The following is a 21,756-nucleotide window of genomic DNA, read 5'->3' as shown; positions in this document are numbered from 1 at the left end:
GGCCAGGGCAATCAGGCAGGAGAAAGAAATAAAGGGTATTCAATTAGGAAAAGAAGAACTCAAATTGTCCCTGTTTGCACATGACATGATTGTGTATTTAGAAAACCCCACCGTCTCAGTCCAAATTCTCCTTAAGCTGGTAAGCAAATTCAGCAAAGTCTCAGGACATAAAATCAATGTGCAAAAATCACAAGCATTCTTATACACCAATAACAGACAAATAGAGAGCCAAATCATGAGTGAACTCCCATTCACAATTGCTACAAAGAGAATAAAATACCTAGGAATCCAACTTACAAGGGATGTGAAGGACCTCTTCAAGGAGAACTACAAACCACTGCTCAACAAAATAAAAGAGAACATAAACAAATGGAAGAACATTTATTCCATGCTCATGGATAGGAAGAATCAATATCATGAAAATGGCCATACTGCCCAAGGTAATTTATAGATTCAATGCCATCCCTATCAAGCTACCATGACTTTCTTCACAGAATTGGAAATAACTACTTTAAAGTTCATATGGAACCAAAAAAGAGCCCACATTGCCAAGTCAATCCTAAGCCAAAAGAACAAAGCTGGAGGCATCATGCTACCTGACTTCAAACTATACTACAAGGCTACAGTAACCAAACCAGCATGGTACTGGTATCAAAACAGAGATATAGACCACTGGAACAGAACAGAGCCCTCAGAAATAATGCCACACATCTACAACCATCTGATCTTTGACAAACCTGACAAAAACAAGCAATGGGGAAAGGATTCCCTATTTAATAAATGGTGCTGGGAAAACTGGCTAGCCAAATGTAGAAAGCTGAAACTGGATCCGTTCCTTACACCTTATACAAAAATTAATTCAAGATGGATTAAAGACTTACATGTTAGACCTAAAACCATAAAAACCCTAGAAGAAAACCTAGGCAATACCATTCAGGACATAGGCATGGGCAAGGACTTCATGTCTAAAACACCAAAAGCAATGGCAACATAAGCAAAATTGACAAATGGGATCTAATTAAACTAAAGAGCTTCTGCACAGCAAAAGAAACTACCATCAGAGTGAACAGGCAACCTACAGAATGGGAGAAAATTTTTGCAATCTACTCATCTGACAAAGGGCTAATATCCAGAATCTACAAAGCACTCAAACAAATTTACAAGAAAAAAACAACCCCATCAAAAAGTGGGTGAAGGATATGAACAGACACTTCTCAGAAGAAGACATTTATGCAGCAAATAGATACATGAAAAAATGCTCATCATCACTGGCCATCAGAGAAATGCAAATCAAAACCACAATGAGATACCATCTCACACCAGTTAGAATGGCAATCATTAAAAAGTCAGGAAATAACAGGTGCTGGAGAGGATGTGGAGAAATAGGAACACTTTTACACTGTTGGTGGGACTGTAAACTAGTTCAACTGTTGTGGAAGACAGTGTGGCGATTCCTCAGGGATCTAGAACTAGAAATACCATGTGACCCAGCCATCCCATTACTGGGTATATACCCAAAGGATTATAAGTCATGCTGCTATAAAGACACATGGCACACATATGTTTATTGCGGCACTATTCACAATAGCAAAGACTTGGAACCAACCCAAATGTCCATCAATGATAGACTGGATTAAGAAAATGTGGTACATATACACCATGGAATACTATGCAGCCATAAAAAAGGATGAGTTCACGTCCTTTGTAGGGACATGAATGAAGTTGGAAACCATCATTCTCAGCAAACCATCCCAAGTACAAAAAAACAAACACCGCATGTTCTCACTCATAGGTGGGAATTGAACAATGAGAACACTTGGACACAGGAAGGGAACATCACACACTGGGGCCTGTTGTGGGGTGGGGTGAGAGGGGAGGGACAGCATTAGGAGATATACCTAATGTAAATGACGAGTTAATGAGTGCAGCACACCAACATGGCACATGTACACATATGTAACAAATCTGCACTTTGTGCACATGCACCCTAGAACTTAAAGTATAAGAAGAAAAAAAAAAAAGAAAAGTTAGTAGCAAGACCAGAAAGTCTTGCTTAGAGATTCATAACTTTCTCAAAATTTTTTTCTCCCATGGCATCTCTCTGCCATGTTCACACAATAGCTCACTTGGTTCATTCAAGCCCAGTAACAAGTTTTACTACAATGGCAGTAAAATACTGGAGTATGTACTATACAGTTAAAGTAAATTACAGAGTACCTATCATTGTTCCATTAGCTTGACACAGATTCAGAGTATGAATTAGTCAGTTTAGGTTCTGCACTTTCAATCTCTGATGCAGTAAGCCCCTCATCTAGCTCTGACTACTCTTGGTTTAAACATTGTTTTATATCATATATTCTTAATAAAACTCATTACAGTTTTATTTCTGTACTTTGTCCACAGAAATTCTGTATCTGCTCATTTATCCAATTAAGACATATAATACACTACTCTGAGTATCAATATTGACTAGATAAGCCTGGGTTTTCCTTAGCCTAATTTTTCTTGCTCTATTATTCTGTCTTCCTTTCTAACAGTATTGAGGCTAAAATTCTTAATTCTTATTTACCATCAACTCCTTTCAGTATCAGCAGCTCAAATGGGTGAGTCATAATAAAAATCTGCCAGGCACATCAACATACATAGCATTCACTCAACACACATCTTATTCTAATAATTTTTATTTGGAACATGTATTAAAATGACATGTATACAATTTTAATAACCATCAGACTAGTCTGGAGTAGTTATCAAATGACAGTGATTTTTTGAGGAGGAGTTTTTTTTTTTTTTTGAGACGGAGTCTTGCTCTGTTGCCCACGCTGGAGTGTGGTGGGGCGATCTCTGCTCACTGCAAGCTCTGCCTCTGGGTTCATGCCATTCTCCTGCCTTGGCCTCCTGAGTAGCTGGGACTACAGGTGCCCGCCACCACGCCTGGCTAATTTTTTGTACTTTTAGTGGAGACGGGGTTTCACCGTGTTAGCCAGGATGGTCTCGATCTCCTGACCTCATGATCCGCCCACCTCGGCCTCCCAAAGTGCTGGGATTACAGGCGTGAGAAACTGTGCCTGGCCGAAGAGATTTTTGTAAAAACACAAAAAAAATTTCTGATATACTTCCTATTCAATGTTGCACCATTAACAATTCAACTCCTTGTAGGACCATCTAGTATACCTGAATCAATGAAAAGTAGTGAACATTTATGCCAAGAGTCTGAGACAGAAAAGAGGCACCTAGCTTAAAAAAAAAAAATACTCACCTACAATGTACATACTAAATGAATACTGCAATCAGACAGGAACTCAGAATAAAATATTTCCCATCATAACAACACAAGAATATGAATATATATATATGAACATATATATATATGAACATATATATATGAACATATATATATATATATATATATATATATATATATATATATATATATATATTTCCACATTGGGCATTTCTTTCTCTAAAAGATTTTACCTAATGAGAAATATATCTTTAAAATATGAATTCAAGTCATCAATAGTATATCCTGACAGTTCTTAATAAAGAAAAAATTCCTTAGAAAGCCAAGCAGGCAGGAGTAAAAACAAACTCTTTCTCCATGAATGCTGACATTCTTACATACTAGACTAATCCAAGAGGATAATGGCAGGTTAGGAGAATGATGCTATATTAAGATATTTCCGGCTGTTTTAAGACAGGTACACTGAGAATTATTTTGTCCTTCCAATGAAGTAGTCTGAGATGAATTTTTTTTTTAGAATACTAAAATTAAATATAGAATTTAGTGGTAGGTTAAATGATGAATGTTATTCTACATTCCAGGAAGAAGCAACAAGTTTTTCCAAAACATGGCAATTGATTATTATAATCCATTATTCAAGTGTAGTTCTTCAAATCTTTTATATAATTGGAGTTCATATGAGCAAATATTTTCATCATATTGCTGCATTAAACAGACATACATTCTTATTTTACTAAAACATATCTTACAAATAATACAATAATAATTTTTTTTTTGAGATGGAGCCTCGCTCTGTCGCCCAGGCTGGAGTGCAGTGGTGCAATCTCAGCTCACTGAAACCTCCGCCACCCGGGTTCGAGAGATTCTCCTGCCTCAGCCTCCCAAGTAGCTGGGACTACAGGCACATGCCACCACGCCTAGCTAATTTTTGTATTTTTTGTAGGGACGGGGTTTCACCATGTTGGCCAGGATGGTCTTGATCTCCTGACCTTGTGATCTACCCACCTCAGCCTCCCAAAGTTCTGGGATTACAGGCATGAGCCACCACGCCTGGCCAGTAATTTATTTTATTCATTCAAATAAGCAAAGTCTTTTGAGGAAATTGTAAAGTTTCCACCCATATCCATAAGGATAGTAGAACTCTTAATGCAATTAAATGTTATTCACTAGGTATATTTACATCCTAACAGAATAATTACATTGTTGGTTAAATTTTCACAGGACTCAAAGGACAACTGTCAATCTTCATAGTAGGGATAAAAATCAAGGAGGAGGAATATTTGCAATCCTTTTGAGTTAGAAAAAGAAAGATGGAGAAAAGAAAAAAATGGAGAGAGGTAGACTTGGAAATGCATTCTGAACTCACGACATCATATATAAACTTCAATATTCGATACATTTTCAGCACTCTCATATTTTTTAACATGACTAGTCAATCATTAAAGAATCAATAATCTTCAAGTTCAAGATATTCTTGTGTTTATTCCTCACAAAATTCTCAATGACTTATTAGTGACTCCCGTGGGAGGGTATATTACATGTGATCTGGGAGATGAATTTCCTATTAGGACATATTTAATTGTATGCATTATATGTATCATTATAGAAGGCACCTGGCAGTATTCAATTTTCTTTACTCTGCTTCGCAGGCTTAACTAGTTTTAATTATTTTTTTTTAATAAACAGTGATCTTATTGGGAAGGTATGTTCATAGATAGTATGCATATTTACCAGTAAATATAAAAGTGTAAAAAAAATTTATGAAATAGAAAGTGACATTATTGTAGAGTATATGTATTAGAAAGATATGCCAATAAAGAATGGGACTGACTGATGAGCAAAAAAATTAAAAACTGAAATCTATCAAACTCTCCAAAATTCTTGTGCCATATGTAAAACATCAGAAATATATCTAACATATTCAAATGTATATTGTTATAACAAATAACTACTTTATATTTCTAATTATAATTACAAATAATTACTATAAACAATATATTCAAAAAACTTCAAATTGTTGTAAACAAATTCAATCTCTCTTTCCCAAGGAAATCAACTACTAATCATCTTTCTTGGCTAGTAGCTACTGCCACATTGGCAAGATATCATCAGCCATCAGGATTCCTCCTTGAAAATCAATCATTAATCATGACATCATTCCTTCTAAAATCTATTCTATTTCTGAACTGTTCTGTCAGACTTCAATATGTGTAAAACGCATTATTAGAAAAGAAAAAATTGTTGTACCTTAAATAAGTTTTCACATAAAACTCTTTTGAGAAAAGGAACACTAATAATAAAGTTTTAATTTATACTTAATACTGAAAGCACAATACTCACAAAGAAGGATCTTGTACGAGATCTTTGAGATTTATCCCACTGCGGTCTTCTGCAAGATTCCTGAAGCAACTATCACTCACTAAATAGAAATGGGGAAAAGAAAAAAAAATTAATTTTTGTCTACATTTCATTTAAGCTATTGCTGACCAAAAGACATTTTGAAATGAAAAATAGCTTTTTTTTTTTCATTTTTCCCCAAACATTACTATTGATTTATTTATAGGCCTGGTGAATTTAGCAACAAATATTAATATTCTAAACAAGCCAACATTTCAATAACAATCCACTACTTTAAGCACACCAACTCTATATAAATACATTACATAAAATAATAAACATGTCGGTCTAAATGTTGTTCTTACTGTTACAAGATTAATTTACTAGTACACAGTAGCAAGTCACTGCCCCCACAACAACTAGGAAAAAAAGAGACAAACTACAAAATCATATTTTTAAAAATATTGGCGAGCAAGGGAAATAGAAAGGAGAAACTAAATTTGCAGGATGATTAATATCTCTTAAGTCAGCTAATCCTGCTGATTATTTTAATTTCTGGAAGGATTTGCCAGTTAGACAGACTAGCTAAGAAAGAAGGACACTACTAAGGAAAAGAAAAAACAGCACAGCTCTTGATAATTTGTAAGCTGGCATGAAAAACTGGAATCTGATGAAGTCCAAAATTACAGACAGTTTTCTCCCTGAAAAATTTGCTGAGTGCCAGAATTACCTAAGAGGATTTGGGGCAGCAGTTGGGAGAACAGGCCATGGGGCAAATAATAATCCCTGTAATGTTGTGGTGATTAGAAGACAAAGTCACACTAGAACAGATGTAGCCTACCACTGTGAGGATAAAATTTTAATAGGTCTTCCCACAAGATATTTGCTCTCAACCAAAAGCATCCCCTTAGTGGGTGGGGAGCCAGAGGAAATGAGTAAAAGGAGCAGGACCAGAAAGGTAGAGTAAAATCTCCAACAATTTTACAGTATATAAATACAAAGTCACCAGACAGAAGAGTCTGCAACACAACAGTTGTTGTCATTAGGACATTTAAAATCAAAGGCATTCTAAGTGTATCGAAAGCTGCCACCCAGACTTGATGCAGTAAGATTCATAATTGAGTTGAGGTGATTAGCACTTGATCTTATCTTTCTAATACAGAATTGAAGAAAAATAATATTTAGTTCAATTTCTGCTGCTCTATTATAAACAATATTTGGTATATGATGAAAATTACAAGGTATGGAAAGGGGCACAAAATGTGACTAACAATCAAGGGAAAAGAGAATAAATATAAACAGACCCACAGATGATATAGAGTTAGAAGACAAGGACTTTAAAAAAGATCTTCAAAGTAGATGAAAAAAGGAAAACTTCAACAAAGAATGAAAATCTATTTTAAAAATTAAATAGTGATTTTATATCTGAAAAACACACTATCTGCAATTAAGCAGTTGGTGGGTGGGTTTTATAACTGACTGAATACAGCAAAGCACAGATTAGTGAATTTGAATATAGGTCAGCAGGAAATATCCACACTGAAGCACAGCAAGAAAGAAATGAAATGAACAGAGCATAAGAGATATGTGGGAATTAAACACTTCAACACAAATATAATTCCAGTTAGAATAAAGCAGACAGAAAGTGAGGAGAAACAATACTTTCAGAAAAAGTTAAAAATTGCTGAGACTAGCCCAAAACTGATACAATATATTAATGTTCTGACTTAAGAAGTATGGCAAACACCACACTGGCAAAGGTGAAAAAAACCACAACCAACACTCAAAATGCTGAAAATCAAAGATAACAAGAACACTTTAACAACAGTCAGAGGGAGAAAAAAGACATATCACTTTCAAAAGAAAAACAAGAAAACTTAAAGCTGAATTTTTAACAGAAACTATCAAATCCAGAAGACAATGGGACAATATGTTTAAAATACTTGAGATAAATTGAATCCAAAAGTTTGTACCTTGATAAAATATCCATCTAAAAATGAAGGCACCCATGTGTGCCACCTGTGAACTCAAAGACTGGCTCAACCAGGGCCTGCTACAACTACAGTCAATGTGTAAACAGGGAGACTTCGGGCCTGAGGGCTGGCCCACCTAGTGCGTACCACAAATGATGACCTCATGAACTCCAGTGGTAAGGCCACCATGTGCCTCCAATCACCACCCAGGAGCCCAAGAACAACCCACTGCTAACACTGCCAGTGCCTGTGCACAACCCTTAGGAGCCAAAGAACAAGCCCACCAAATATCCATGTTGCCAGGAAAGTCTTGTCGCTGACTCCATGAACAACCTCACCTGAACGCCCTAGGGAAACTGCAGACACTGTTAACATTATTTACAGCCAAAGTAACCATACAGAGACTACACTAATGCAACCACCTGAACCAAAGCCAAAACACTCTACCCAAATGACACTATAGATATGTCTACAGAAAAAAGTTTACCTAAAAAAGCTAATCCAGAAAACTGAAAGACGAAATTGCTAACCATATACACAGTTATCAATGTAGGGATGCAAGACACATGAAAAAGGAAATATGACACTGCCATAGAAACACAATAATTCTCCAATAACAGAGCCCCAAAAGAAAATCTATGAAATACCTTAACAAATTTAAATAATAATCTTTTAAAACTTAGTAGATACAAAAGAACACAGATAGAAAATATACATAAATCAGAAAAAAAAAACAACTGGTGATCTAAATGAGAAATTAAATAGAATGTCATAAAAAACAACTAAACAGAAATCCCGGAACTCAAGAATTCAATGATTAAAATTAAAAAAATACAATTGAAAGCTTCAACAATCGACTAGATCAAGCAGAAGATAATTTTAGTACTTGAAGATAGGTTTTTAAAAATAACCCAGACAAAAGGAAAAAAAAATTTAAAAAAGAATGAATAAACCTACATGACATGGGAAACCATCAAGTAAATAAATATTCACATTTTGTGAATTATAGAAGGAAATGAGTGTAGAAAAGGCATAGAAAACTTATTTCGTAAAATAATGGCTGACAACTTCCCAAATCTTGAGAGACAGACATCAAGATCTGGAAAGGTCAAATGTCCCCAAAATACTCAACCCAAAAATGTCATCCCTGAGACATATATCTCTCAAACTGCCAAGAGTCAAAGACAAAGAAATAATTCTAAAAACAGCAAAAGGCATCAAGTTACATATAAGGGAATCCCCTTCAGACTAACAGTAAATTTCTCAGCAGAACCATTATAAGCCAAGAGAGAAAAAAAATGGTTTAAGCAAAGTACTAAAACAAAAAATACCTACTGATTAATAACACTATACCCAACAAAGTTATCCTTCAAAAATGTGTGTCCAAATGGATCTAAAGATGGCTTACAGAACATATTTGGTCCAACTGCAGCTGTTGGACCAAATATGGCCTGTAAACCATTTTAGATCCATTTTTTGACATCAGCACATAGAACATTCTACAAGACAGACCACATGTTAGGCCACAAGACTGGCCTCAAGAAATTTTCAAAAATCAGTATTATATCAAGTGTCTTCTCAAACCATAATGGAGTAAAACTAGAAATTAGTAACAAGAGGAACTTTGGAAATTCTACAAATACATGAAAATCAAAAATTAATAAGATTAATCAAGAAAAAAAGAGAAAAGACCCTGAGAAACTTATGGTTCAATTAAGAAATTTAAAGACACCAAAGAAGTCTTGAAACAAATTAATATAGAAACAGCATACCAAAAACTTATAGTGTACTGAGAAACAGTACTAAAAGGGAAGTTTACAGCAATAAACACTTAAACCATTTGAACAATTTCACTTAATCAATCTGACAAAGCACCTCAAGAAACCAGAAAAGGAAGAACAAGCCAAACCTAAAATAAGAAGAAGGAAACATCAGAGCAGAAGTAAATAGAGACAAAAACCCACAAAGGATCACAAGAAACACTGGTTTTATCGAAAGATAAACTATATTTACAAACCAGTAGCTAGACTAATCAAGAAAAAAGGAAGACTCAAATAAGTAAAATCAGAAATAAAAAATGAGACATTACAACTGATACAACAGAAATACAAAGGACCACTAGAAATTATTATGAACAACTGCACACTAAGAAATTAGAAAACTTATATTAAATGGATACATTCCTGGACACATATAATCTCACAAATTAAATCAGGAAGAAATAGAAAACCTGAGCAGATCAATAATGAGTAACGAGATTAAACTGGCAATAAAAAAGTCTCCCAACAAAAAGCCCAGGACCAAAAAGCTTTAAAAGAAGAACATCTATTTTGCTGAAACTCTTCCAAAAAATTAAAAAGGTGGAAATTCTTCCTAATTCATTCTACGAGGTCAGTAGTACCCAGATACCAAAACTAAAGAAGGATGCAACAACAATCACAAAAAAAACTAGAGGTCAGTATCCATGATTAGCATAGATGCAAAAATCCTGAACAAAATACTAGGAATCTGAATCCAAAGGCACATCAAAAAAAAAAAAAAAATACACTACGATTGAGTGGAATTTATCCCAGGTATGCGAGGATGGTTCAACATATAAAAATCAATAGATGTGCTACATCACATCAACAGAATGATAGATGAAAAGCAAATCATATGATCATCTCAAATCCAAAGAAAGCATCTGATAAAATTCAACTCCCTTCATAATAAACACTCTAAAAAATTAAGTATAGAAAGATTATACCTAAACACAATAAAGTCCAAATATGAAAAACACTCAGACAATATCACACTGAATGGAGAAAAGCTAAAAGCCTTTAAGAACTAGAACAAGAAAAGAATGTATACTTTTACAACTTGTATTTAAGATAGAACTGGAATTCCTTGTAAGAAAAATTAGGCCACAAAAGGAAATAAAGTTCATCTAAATTAGAAAGGAGAAAGGCAAGTTGTCCCTCTTTGCAGATGACATAATCTTACATATAAAAAATCCTGAAGACTCTTCAAAAAACTCTAGGAAGAAAAATAATAGAAACTGGGGATTCCAAAAGAGGGGAGGTTGGGGTTGAAAAATTACCTATTGGGTACAATATTCACTAGTCAGATGATGACTAAACTAGAAACCCAAATCCCACCATTATGCTATATATATATATATGTGTGTGTAACAAACCTGCACATATCCCTCCTGAATCTATAAAAGGATAAAATATCTTTGAACTTCTAAACAAATTCAGTAAAGTTGCAGGATACAAAATCAACATGCAAGAATCAGTGATGTTTTTATAGAATAACCAACTAGCTGAAAAAAAAATCAGGAAAGCAAGCCCATTTGCAGTCAATACCTGCTAAAAAGAATAAAATATCTAAATGGTGTTGGAAAATTGGATATTTATATGCAGAAGAATGAAAGTACATCCTTCTCACCACAAAAATCAACTCAAAATGGATTAAAGATTTAAACCTGTGACCTGAAATTACAAAATAACTACAAGAAAACATATAAGAAATGCTTCAGGACATCTGTCTAAGCAAAGATTTTAAAGATTTCAAAGGCACAGGCAATAAAAACAAAAATAGACAAACGGAACTATACCAAACTAAAAAGCTTCTGTAGAGCAAAAAAAGAAGATCAACAGAGTAAAGAAATATAGTCTGTTGAATGAAAGAAAATATTTGCAAATTATTTACCTGACAAGGGAATAATGTCCAGAATATATATGGAACTCACACAACCCATCAAAAAATCTGATTAAAAACTGGAAAAAGGGGCCGGGAGCGGTGGTTCACACCTGTCATCCCAGCACTTTGGGAGGCCGAGGCGGGCAGATCATGAGGTCAAGAGATCGAGACCATCCTGGCCAACATGGGTGAAACCCCATCTCTACTAAAAATACAAAAATTAGCCGGGCGTGGTGGTACGTGCCTATAGTCCCCAGCTACTCAGGAGGCTGAGGCAGGAGAATCGCTTGAATTCGGGAGGCAGAGGTTGCAGTGAGCCGAGATCGTGCCATTCGACTTCAGCATGGGCAACAAGCGTAAAACTCCGTCAAAAAAAAAAAAAAAACTGGAAAAAGAATCTGAATAGACATCTCAAAAGAAGACAAACAAATAGCCAACAAATATATGAATGAATGCTCAACATCCCTAGTCATCAGGGAAACATAAATCAAAACTGCAATGAGATATCATCTCACCCCAGTCAGAATGGCTATTATAAAAGATCAAAGATAACATATGCTGGTGACGACGAAGAGAAACAGGAACTTATGCACTGTTTGTGGATATGTAAATTAGTACGGCCATTATGAAAAACAGTATGGAGGTTCCTCAAAAAGTAAAAATTTAATTACCATCTGATCCAGCAATCACAGGAATGGGCATTTATCAAAAAGCAAGGAAATCAATTATGTCAAAGGGATACTTACATTCCCATGTTTACTGAAGCATGATTCACAATATCCAAGATATGGAATCAAACTAAACATCCATCAACAGATGAATGGATAAAGAGAATGATGTGTCGTATATACATAATTGATTGCTATTCAGTCATAAAAAAGAGAGAGAGAATTAAATGCATTCATACACAGCAATATGGATCACCCTGGAGGACATTATGTTATGTGAAATAAGTCAGAGAGATAAATACTGCATGTTCTCATGCATATGTAGTATCCATTAAAAACAAAAAAAGAGGTCATAGACGTAGAGAGTAGAATTGTGGTTGCTAGAGGCTTAGAAGGGGAGTGGGTAGGGAAGGATGGGAAGAGGCTGGTTAATGAACACAAACTTAAAGGTAGATAATAGGAGTAAGGACCAGGCGCAGTGGCTCATGCCTGTAACCCAGCACTTTGGGAGGCTGAGGCGGGTGGATCACGAGATCAGGAGATCAATACCATCCTGGCTAACATGGTGAAACCCCGTCTCTACTAAAAATACAAAAAATTAGCCAGGAGTGGTGGTGGGCGTCTGTAGTCCCAGCTACTCGGGAGGCTGAGGCAGGAGAATGGCATGAACCCGGGAGGCAGAGGTTGCAGTGAGCCGAGATCGCACCACTGCACTCCAGCCTGGGGGACAGAGCGAGATTCCATCTCAAAAAAAAAAAAAGAAAAGAAAAATAGGAGTAAGCTCTAGTCTTTACAGCACTGTAGTATAAATATGGATGACTAGAATTTATTGTATATTTTCAAAAAACTAGAAGAGAAGCTTTTGAATGTTCACAGTAAAAAGAATTGTTAAGTGTTTGAGATTACGGATATGCGAAATACCCTGATTTTATAATTACACATTGTGTAAATGTATTGAAATATCACTCTGTAGACTATAAATATGTACAATTACTACATGTCAGCTAAAAATAAAGGAAAAAATGTGAAGGTGAAATAAAGACTTTCTCGGGCAGTAAAAAAATTGGCTAATTTGCTGCCAGGAGCCCTGACATACAAGAAATGTTAAAAGAATTTCTTCAGAAAGAAGAAAAATGATTATCAGTCAGAAACTGAGATCTTCTTAAATAAAGTGCGTTAGAGAAGAAATAAATGAAGGTAAAGTAAAAATTTTTCTTTTTCCTGATTTATCTAACATAATAGTTTGTTCAAAATAATAATAGCAACAATGTATATGATTATGTAGGCTTATATACACATGTATTCTTCTGCATGCTTTTATAAAGTTAAATGAATTCCAGTAAGCATACACTGCGTGGAAGAGAGGAATTAGGATTATTTTCTCACACTGCTTGTGAATATAGTGTTATTGGACTTCGTTTAGTTGAAACGTGTATTAAAAACTCTAGGATGACCATTAAAAAATAAAAACAGGCAGGGCGTGGTGGCTCACACCTGTATTTCCGGCACTTTGGGAGGCCGAGGTGGGCGGATCATGAGGTCAGGAGATCAAGACCATCCTGGTTAACACGGTGAAACCCCATCTCTACTAAAAATACAAAAAATTACCCGGGCGTGGTGGCACGCACTGGTAGTCCCAGCTACTAGGGAGGCTGAGGCAGGAGAATCGCTTGAACCCAGGAGGCGGAGGTTGCAGTGAGCAGAGATCGCGCCACTGTACTCCAGCCCGGGAGACAGAGCCAGACTCTGTCTCAAAAAAATAATAAAAATAAAAATTAAAAACAGAGGCCTAACTGATAATGCTATGACAAAAGAGAAATTCAAATTACATAAAATGTTCAATTAGAAACACAAAAGGTAGAAGAGTGGGAGACAAAACAAGAACAAAGGTCAAAGGCAACAAATAAAAAAGTTTAAAATATGGTAGATATTAATTCACCTACATCAATAACGATGTTGAATGTCAATGGTCCGAATGCACCAATTAAAAAACAGAGATTGTCAGGGTAGATTAAAAAAATAAGGTCCAATTATACATTTTCTACCAAAAAATCCACTTCAAATTTAAAAATACTTACAGATAAAAGTGAAAGGATGGAGAAAGAAATGCCATGCTAACACTGATCAAAAGAAAGTGAAGGTAGCGTATTAATTTCAGACAGAGCAGATTTCAAAGCAAGAAAAGTTTTCAGGAATAAAGAGGGGCAATATATTATGATAAAGGGATGAATTTTCCAAGAATACATAACAGTCCTTAGCATATATACACCTAACAACGGAACATTAAAATACATGAGGCAAAAACTGATAGAAGTGCAAGGAGTAATAGATGAAACCCCTGTTACAGTTGGAGACTAACAATCCTCTATCATAAATGAACAAATCTCACAAGAAAAAAATCAATAAGGATATAGCTGAATTCAACAGCACTAATAATCAATTTGATATACTCTCATCTATTGATGACTTCATCCAATAAAAGCAGAATAGACACTCTTCTCAAACTAACATGGAACATTCACCAAAAGGACCACGTTCACATCTTACCACAAAATTATAGTGTTGGCTCTCAGACCATAACGGAATTAAACTAGAAATCAATAACAGGAGAATAAAAGAAGTATCCCCAAATACCTATAGATTAAACAAAACACTTCTAAAGAACATGTCAAAAATAAATCTCAAAATATATTTAGAAATATTTTTATTTAAATAATGATACCATAATTTATCAAAATGTAAGGGAGGCAGTAAAAGCAGTGTTTAGAGGGAAATTTATAACATTGAATGCATATATTAGAAAAGAAGAAAGATTTAAAATTAATAATCTAAGCCTCCACCTTATCAAACTAGCTATATGACAGCAACTTAAATCCAAATTAAGCAGAAGCAAATAAATAACAAAAATTTGAGCAGAAATCAATGCAACTGAAAATGGGAAATCTAAAGAGAAAAATGAATGAAACCAAAAGGTGATTCTTTGATAAAATCAATACACCTCTCGCCAAGTTCACTGAAAGCACAAATCATGAATATCAGAAACAAAGAGGAAACATCACTGCAGATGTCATAGACATTAAAGGGATAATAAAGGAATATTATGAACAAGACATGAATCAAGAATCTGATAATCTTGATGGAATAAACCAATTCCTTAAAGACACCATCAAAGTTCACAAAAGAAGAAACAGTTTGAATCAATAATTAATAAAGCCTTTACATATACATTTAAAAATTCAAAAAGAGAAACTGATGTAAAGATTTCATGGTATTAATGTAATCAATCTAAAATTATAAGCCAAAACAATGATTATATGCAAAACTTATATTACGATAGTCATTTAACAACTGCAAACATTGTTTGAATTCTAAGTACTTTCAAGCTGTTTTATGCTGTTGAAAGTTAACACATTCTTTTTCTGACAAAAGTTAAAGAAGCAAAATCTCCTTTCCTGACAAACGGGCAGCAGATAAATTTTCAAATTACATTTCCAGCCAAATATTTTTGACCTCATGCAAACTGAAAGGAAATTTCCATAAGTCTATTTAACTCTACAACTGAGAACTTTCCACTTCTTATCTTCATTAAGTGATTAATCTGTAATGCAATGACACGCTCAAAGGCACGAAAACCTAACAGAATTCTAAAAATGTATTCCAAATGATTAATATGCCAAGTTAAATCAAGATAATGGATCAAGATTAGTATGTGCCAATAACAATTTTCATGAAAAGACATTTGCAAGGATAAAATACTCCATACAGATTAGCATTAACAGATGAACATGTGCAACTAATTTTGATGACAGGGAACACAAACTATAAACCCTACTAAACATAAACTCTAAACTGTTATTTCCACCATCTTTCATTCTTCATATTAGTAAACACAAATTATAAACATTGTACTCCATTACTATTAGTAAATTTTGATTTCATAAATCAAAAAAATCTGAGAAAATTTGTTTTCTTTCTTATAAGTACCTAGGTACAATTCTCAATTTTGCCTCTTGGCCCACAAAATCTAAAATATTTAACATATGGCCTCTTTTTATTTATTTATTTATTTTTTGAGATGGAGTGTTGCTCTGTCGCCCAGGCTAGAACGCAGTGGTGCGATCTCGGCTCACTGCAACCTCCACCGCCTAGGCTCAAATGATCCTTCTCCCTCAGCTTCCCAAGTAGCTGGGACCACAGGCGTTCGCCACCATGCCCAGCTAAATTTTTTTGTATTTTTGTTAAGACTGGGTTTCGCTGTTGCTCAGGCTGGTTTGAACTTCTAAGCTCAAGCAATCCACCCACCTCGGCCTCCCAAAGTGCTGGGATTACAGACATGAGCCACTGTACCTGGCAGAAAACGTTTACTAACCACTTTTTGACAAGAACCAGTAAAATTACGAGGCATTATAGAGAGCCAGTTAATATTGTAATTTCTGATACATGCATGAATATAGCATATGCCTATGGCTTTCCAGAGAGGATGCAAATTGATTTATGATCTCCTCCACTGCTTTATATTTCTGGTGAAAGCATATTAAAACTCAAGTTCTACATGAAATCTTCCAAACATCTTCAACCAACCCCACAAAGATACTCCTACCAATCCTAGCCAAAAGGGGTTCACTGGAGACCTACCAGGGAGCCAAAACTAACATGCCTACACAGCAGTAACATGGAAAACCTTCCGCCTTACCTACCAAGGAGGCCAAGTAAAAAACCCGACTCCCACCTCAACCTTGGAGCAAAGAGGTAGAGGGACTACTCTCAGATGAAGTGTCAGAATGAGACAGCTACACCAGATAATTTAAATAAAGACTACATTCTCATAAGACCCAAAATGTTCAGGTTTTATTAAAAAATAAGTTGTCATACAAAGAACCAGGAAGATCTCAAACTGAATGAAAAAAGGCTAATGACAGGTGCTAAGACCAAGGCAGCAGAGATGCTAGAGTTGCCTGAAAAAATTTTAGTCTTGTCATGATAAAAATTATTCAAAAAGGAATTATAAAAACACATGAAACAAATTTTATGAGCAAAAAGTCACAGCAAAGAAAAAGAATCTTAATCAAGAAGTAGAAGATACACAGGAAGACCAAATAGAAATTTTATACCTGAAAAACACAATAACTGAAATACAAAACTTAATGGATGTGCTCAATACTAGAATGAAAGAAACATGCGAAAACAATCAGCAAGCTAGGAGATAACACACTAGAAGTCATCCAATCTGGAAAAGAAGAAAACGGTTTGGAAAAAAAAATAAAGTCCCCAAGAATTGTCAAACAATAACAAAAGAACTAAAGTTAATATCATCTGAGTGTCAAAGAAGAGGGATAAAAGGATAGGATACATTTAAAAAAAAATAACAACTCAATATAGAGATTCAAGAGTTTAAAAAACCTGAAAGAGGGTACAGTTAATGAAATCCACACCAAGATTTATGATGGCCAAATATTCGAAAACTAAAGACAAAGGAAATATCTTTTTTTTTTTTTTTTTGAGACAGAGTTTCACTCTTGTTGCCCAGACTGGAGTGCAATGGCACGATCTCGGCTCACCACAACCTCCGCCTCCTGGGTTCAAGCGATTCTCCCGCCTCAGCCTCCTGAGTAGCTGGGATTACAGGCATGCGCCACCACGCCCAGCTAATTTTTGTGGTTTTAGTAGAGATGGGGTTTCTCCATGTTGGCCAGGCTGGCCTCGAACTCCCGACCTCAGCTGATCCACCCGTCTTGGCCTTGCAAAGTGCTGGGATTACAGGCGTGAGCCACCATGCCCGGCTGGAAATACCTTAAAAACAGCAGGAAAGGACCGGCCTAGCTAACATAGCCAAACCCTGCCTGTAATCCCTGCTACTCAGGAGGCTGAGGTAGGAGAATTGCTTGAACCTGGGAGGCAGAGGTTGCAGGGAGCCGAGATAACGCCATTGTACTCCAGCCTGGGCGACAGTGCGACACTCTGTCTCAAAAAAAGAAAAAAAAAAAAAACAGCAGGAAAGTGGGAAAGGTAATACAAATGACAATCAATTTCTTACCAGAAACCAGAAAGGCTAGAAGGAAGCACTTTTTCTTTTTTAAGTTCACGGGTACAAGTGCAGGATGTGAAGGTTTGTTACACAGGTAAACGTGTGTCATGGGGGTTTGTTGTAACAATTATTTCATTACCCAGGTATTAAGACTAGTATCCACTAGTTATTTTTCCTGATACTGTCCCTCGTCCCACCTTCTACCCTCAAGTAGGCCCTGGTGTGTGTTCTTCCTCTATACGTGTCCATGTATTCTCACCATTCAGTTCCCATTCCTAAGTAAGAACATGTAATATTTGGTTTTCTGCTCCTGTGTTACTTTGCTAAGGATAATGACTTCCAGCTCCATCCGTGTCCCTGCAAAGGACATATCTTCATTCTCTTTTGTGGCTGCCTTATATTCCATGGTGTATGTGTACCACATTTCTTTATCCAGTCTATCATTGATGGGCACTTGGGTTGATTCCATATGTTTGCTATTGTCATAAGTACTGCAATGAACATATGGGTGCATGTGTCTTTATAACAGAGCAACTTATATTCCTTTGGGTATATACCCAGTAATGGGATTGCTGGGTCAAATGCTATTTCTGATTTTAGGTCTTTGAGGAATTGCCACACTGTCTTCCACAATGGCTGAACTAATTTACACTCCTACCAAGAGTGTATAAGCCTTCCTTTTATCCACAACCTCACAAGCGTCTTGTTATTTTTCAGCTCTTTAATAATAGCCATTCTGACTGGTAGGATATGATATCTCACTGTGGTTTTGATTTGCATTTCTCTAATGATCAGTGATGTTGAGCTTTTCTAAATATGTTTGTTGGCTGTATGTACATCTTCTTTTGAGAAGTATCCACGTCCTTTGCACATGTCTTAATGGGGTGGTTTTTCTTCTAAATGTATTTAAGTTCCTTATAGATGCTAGATATTAGACCTTTGTCAGATGCATAGTTTGCAAAAATTTTCTGCCATTGTGTAGGTTGTCTATTTACTCTGTTGATAGTTTCTTTAGCTGTGCAGAAGCTTAGATCCCATTTGTCAATTTTTGGTTTGACTGTAATTGCTTTCGACACTTTTGTCATGAAATCTTTGCCAGTACCTAATGTCCTGAATGTAGTTGCCTAGGCTGTCTTCCAGGGTTTTTATAGTTTCGGGTTTTACACTTAAGTCTTTAATCCACCTTGAATTAATTCTTGTGTATGGTGTCAGGAAGGGTCTAGTTTCAATTTTCGACCTATGGCTAGCCAGTTATCCCAGCACCATTTATTGAATAGGGAATCCTTTCCCCATTGCTTGTTTTTGTCAGGTTTCTTCAAGATCAGATAGTTGTACATGTGCAGTCTTATTTTTGGATTCTCTATTCTGTTCCTTTGGTTATGTGTCTATTCTTGTACCACTACCATGCTATTTTGGTCACTGTAGCCCCATAGTATAGTTTGAAGTTGGGTAGTGTGATGCCTCCAGCTTTGTTTTTTAGGCTTACGATTGCTTGGGCTATTCAGGCTCTTTTTTGGTTCAGTACAAATTTTAAAATAGTTTTCTCTAGTTCTGTGAATGGTAGTTTACAGAACTAGATGTCAATGGTAGTTTAATCAGAATAGCAATGAATTTATAAATTGCTTTGGGCATTTTGGCCATTTTACCAATACTGATTCTTCCTATCCATGAGCATGGAATGTTTCTCCATTTCTTTGTGTAATTTCTGATTTGTTTGAGCAGTGATTTATAGTTCTCCTTGCAGAGATCTTTCGCTTTGTTGTTAGCTATATTCCTAGGTATTTTATTCTTTTTGTGGCAACTGAAAAGGGGAGTACGTTTATGATCTGGCTCTCACTTGTACTGTTGTTCATGTATAGGAATGCTAGTGATTTTTACACATTAATTGCGTATCCTGAGACTTTGCTAAAGTTGCTTATCAGCTTAAGAAGCTTTTGGGCTGAGACGACTGGGGTTTTCTAGATACAGAATCATGTCATCTGGAAACAGGGATAGGTTGACTTCCTCTCTTCTTATTTGAATGCCCTTTATTTCATTCTTTTGCCTGATTGCTCTGGCCAGAAATTCCAATACTATGTTGAACAGGAGCGGTGAGAGAGGGCGTCCTTGTCTTGTGCCGGTTTTCAAGGAGAATGCTTCCAGCTTTTACCCATTCAGTATGATGTTGGCTGTGAGTTTGTCTTCTATGGCTCTTATTAGTTTGAGGTATATTCATTTCTTCAGTATCTAGTTTGGTCAGAGTTTTTCAAGTAAAGGGATGTTGAATTTTATCAAAAATCTTTTCTGAATCTCTTGAGATAATCAAGTGGTTTTGGTCTTTAGTTCTGTTTATGTGATAAATCACATTTATTGATTTGCAATGATGAACCAAGTTTGCATCCCAGGGATAAAGCCTATTTAACTCTGGTGGACAAGCTTTTTTTTTTATTAAAAAATGTTTTTATTTAATCCAATACAGTAAGTTCATAATGTTATCATTTCAAAATGTAAACCATATAAAATTATTAATAAGATATTGTGCATTCTTTTCCTTTTTTGGGTGGTTGGAAGATTCAATATTTATTAATATTTTATATATATATATTTTTATTATACTTTAAGTTCTAGGGTACATGTGCACAACGTGCAGGTTTGTTACATATGTATACGTGTGCCATGTTGCTGTGCTGCACCCATTAACTCGTCATTTACATTAGGTATATCTCCTAAGGCTATCCCTCCCCCCTCCCCCTACCCCACGACAGGCCCCGGTGTGTGATGTCCCCCTTCCTGTGTTCAAGTGTTGTTATTGTTCAATTCCCACCTATGAGTGAGAACATGCGGTGTTTGGTTTTTTGTCCTTGCGATAGTTTACTGAGAATGATGGTTTCCAGCTTCATCCATGCCCCTACAAAGGACGTGAACTCATCCTTTTTTATGGCTGCATAGTATTCCATGATGTACATGTGCCACATTTTCTCAATCCAGTCTATCACTGATGGACATTTGGGGAGGTTCCAAGTCTTTACTATTGTGAATAGTGCCACAATAAACATATGTGTGCCATGTGTCTTTATAGCAGCATGATTTATAATCCTTTGGGTATATACCCAGTAATGGGATGGCTGGGTCACATGGTATTTCTAGTTCTAGATCCCTGAGGAATCGCCACACTGTCTTCCACAATGGTTGAACTAGTCTACAGTCCCACCAACAGTGTAAAAGTGTTCCTATTTCTCCACATCCCCTCCAGCACTTGTTGTTTCCTGACTCTTTAATGATCGCCATTCTAACTGGTGTGAGATGGTATCTCATTGTGGTTTTGATTTGCATTTCTCTGATGGCCAGTGATGATGAGCATTTTTTCATGTGTCTGTTGGCTGCATAAATGTCTTCTTTTGAGAAGTGTCTGTTCATATCCTTCGCTCACTTGTTGATGGTGCTGTTTGTTTTCTTCTTGTAAATTTGTTTGAGTTCTTTGTAGATTCTGGATATTAGCCCTTTGTCAGATGAGTAGATTGCAAAAATTTTCTCCCATTCTGTAGGTTGCCTGTTCACTCAGTTTTTTGAGATAAAGCTCGATTTATCTTTTTGGATAAGCTGGATTCAGTTTGCTAGAATTTTGCAGAGGATTTTTGCATCAGTATTCATCAAGGATATTGGCCTGAAGTTTTCTTTTGTTTTTGTATCTCTGCAAAGTTTTGGTGTCAGGATGATGTTAGCCTCATAGAATGAGTTAGGGAGGAGTTTCTCCTCTTCAATTTGTTGGAATAGTTTCAGTAGGAATGGTACCAGCTCTTCTTTGTACATTTGGTAGAATTCAGCTGTGAAGCCGTCTGGTCCTGG

At 35.8% G+C, this 21,756-nt stretch overlaps 1 protein-coding gene across 20 annotated transcripts in view; it reads right to left on the bottom strand.

The window, feature by feature from the left end:
* Window positions 1-21,756, bottom strand: part of GPHN (gephyrin) — a 1,227,209-nt gene that overhangs the window by 1,048,586 nt on the left and 156,867 nt on the right. For all 20 annotated transcript variants that reach the window (XM_047430879.1, XM_011536340.4, XM_017020913.3 and 17 more), the window contains exon 2: window positions 5,585-5,663. In XM_047430879.1, coding sequence (XP_047286835.1) covers window positions 5,585-5,663 — 79 coding nt within the window. The remainder of the gene's footprint in view (window positions 1-5,584; window positions 5,664-21,756) is intronic.

This window comes from Homo sapiens, chromosome 14 (assembly GCF_000001405.40).
Source record: "Homo sapiens chromosome 14, GRCh38.p14 Primary Assembly".
Classification (NCBI taxonomy): domain Eukaryota; kingdom Metazoa; phylum Chordata; class Mammalia; order Primates; family Hominidae; genus Homo; species Homo sapiens.
Note: the sequence above shows the minus strand (reverse complement) of the source record. Positions and strands in the feature narration are given on the sequence as shown.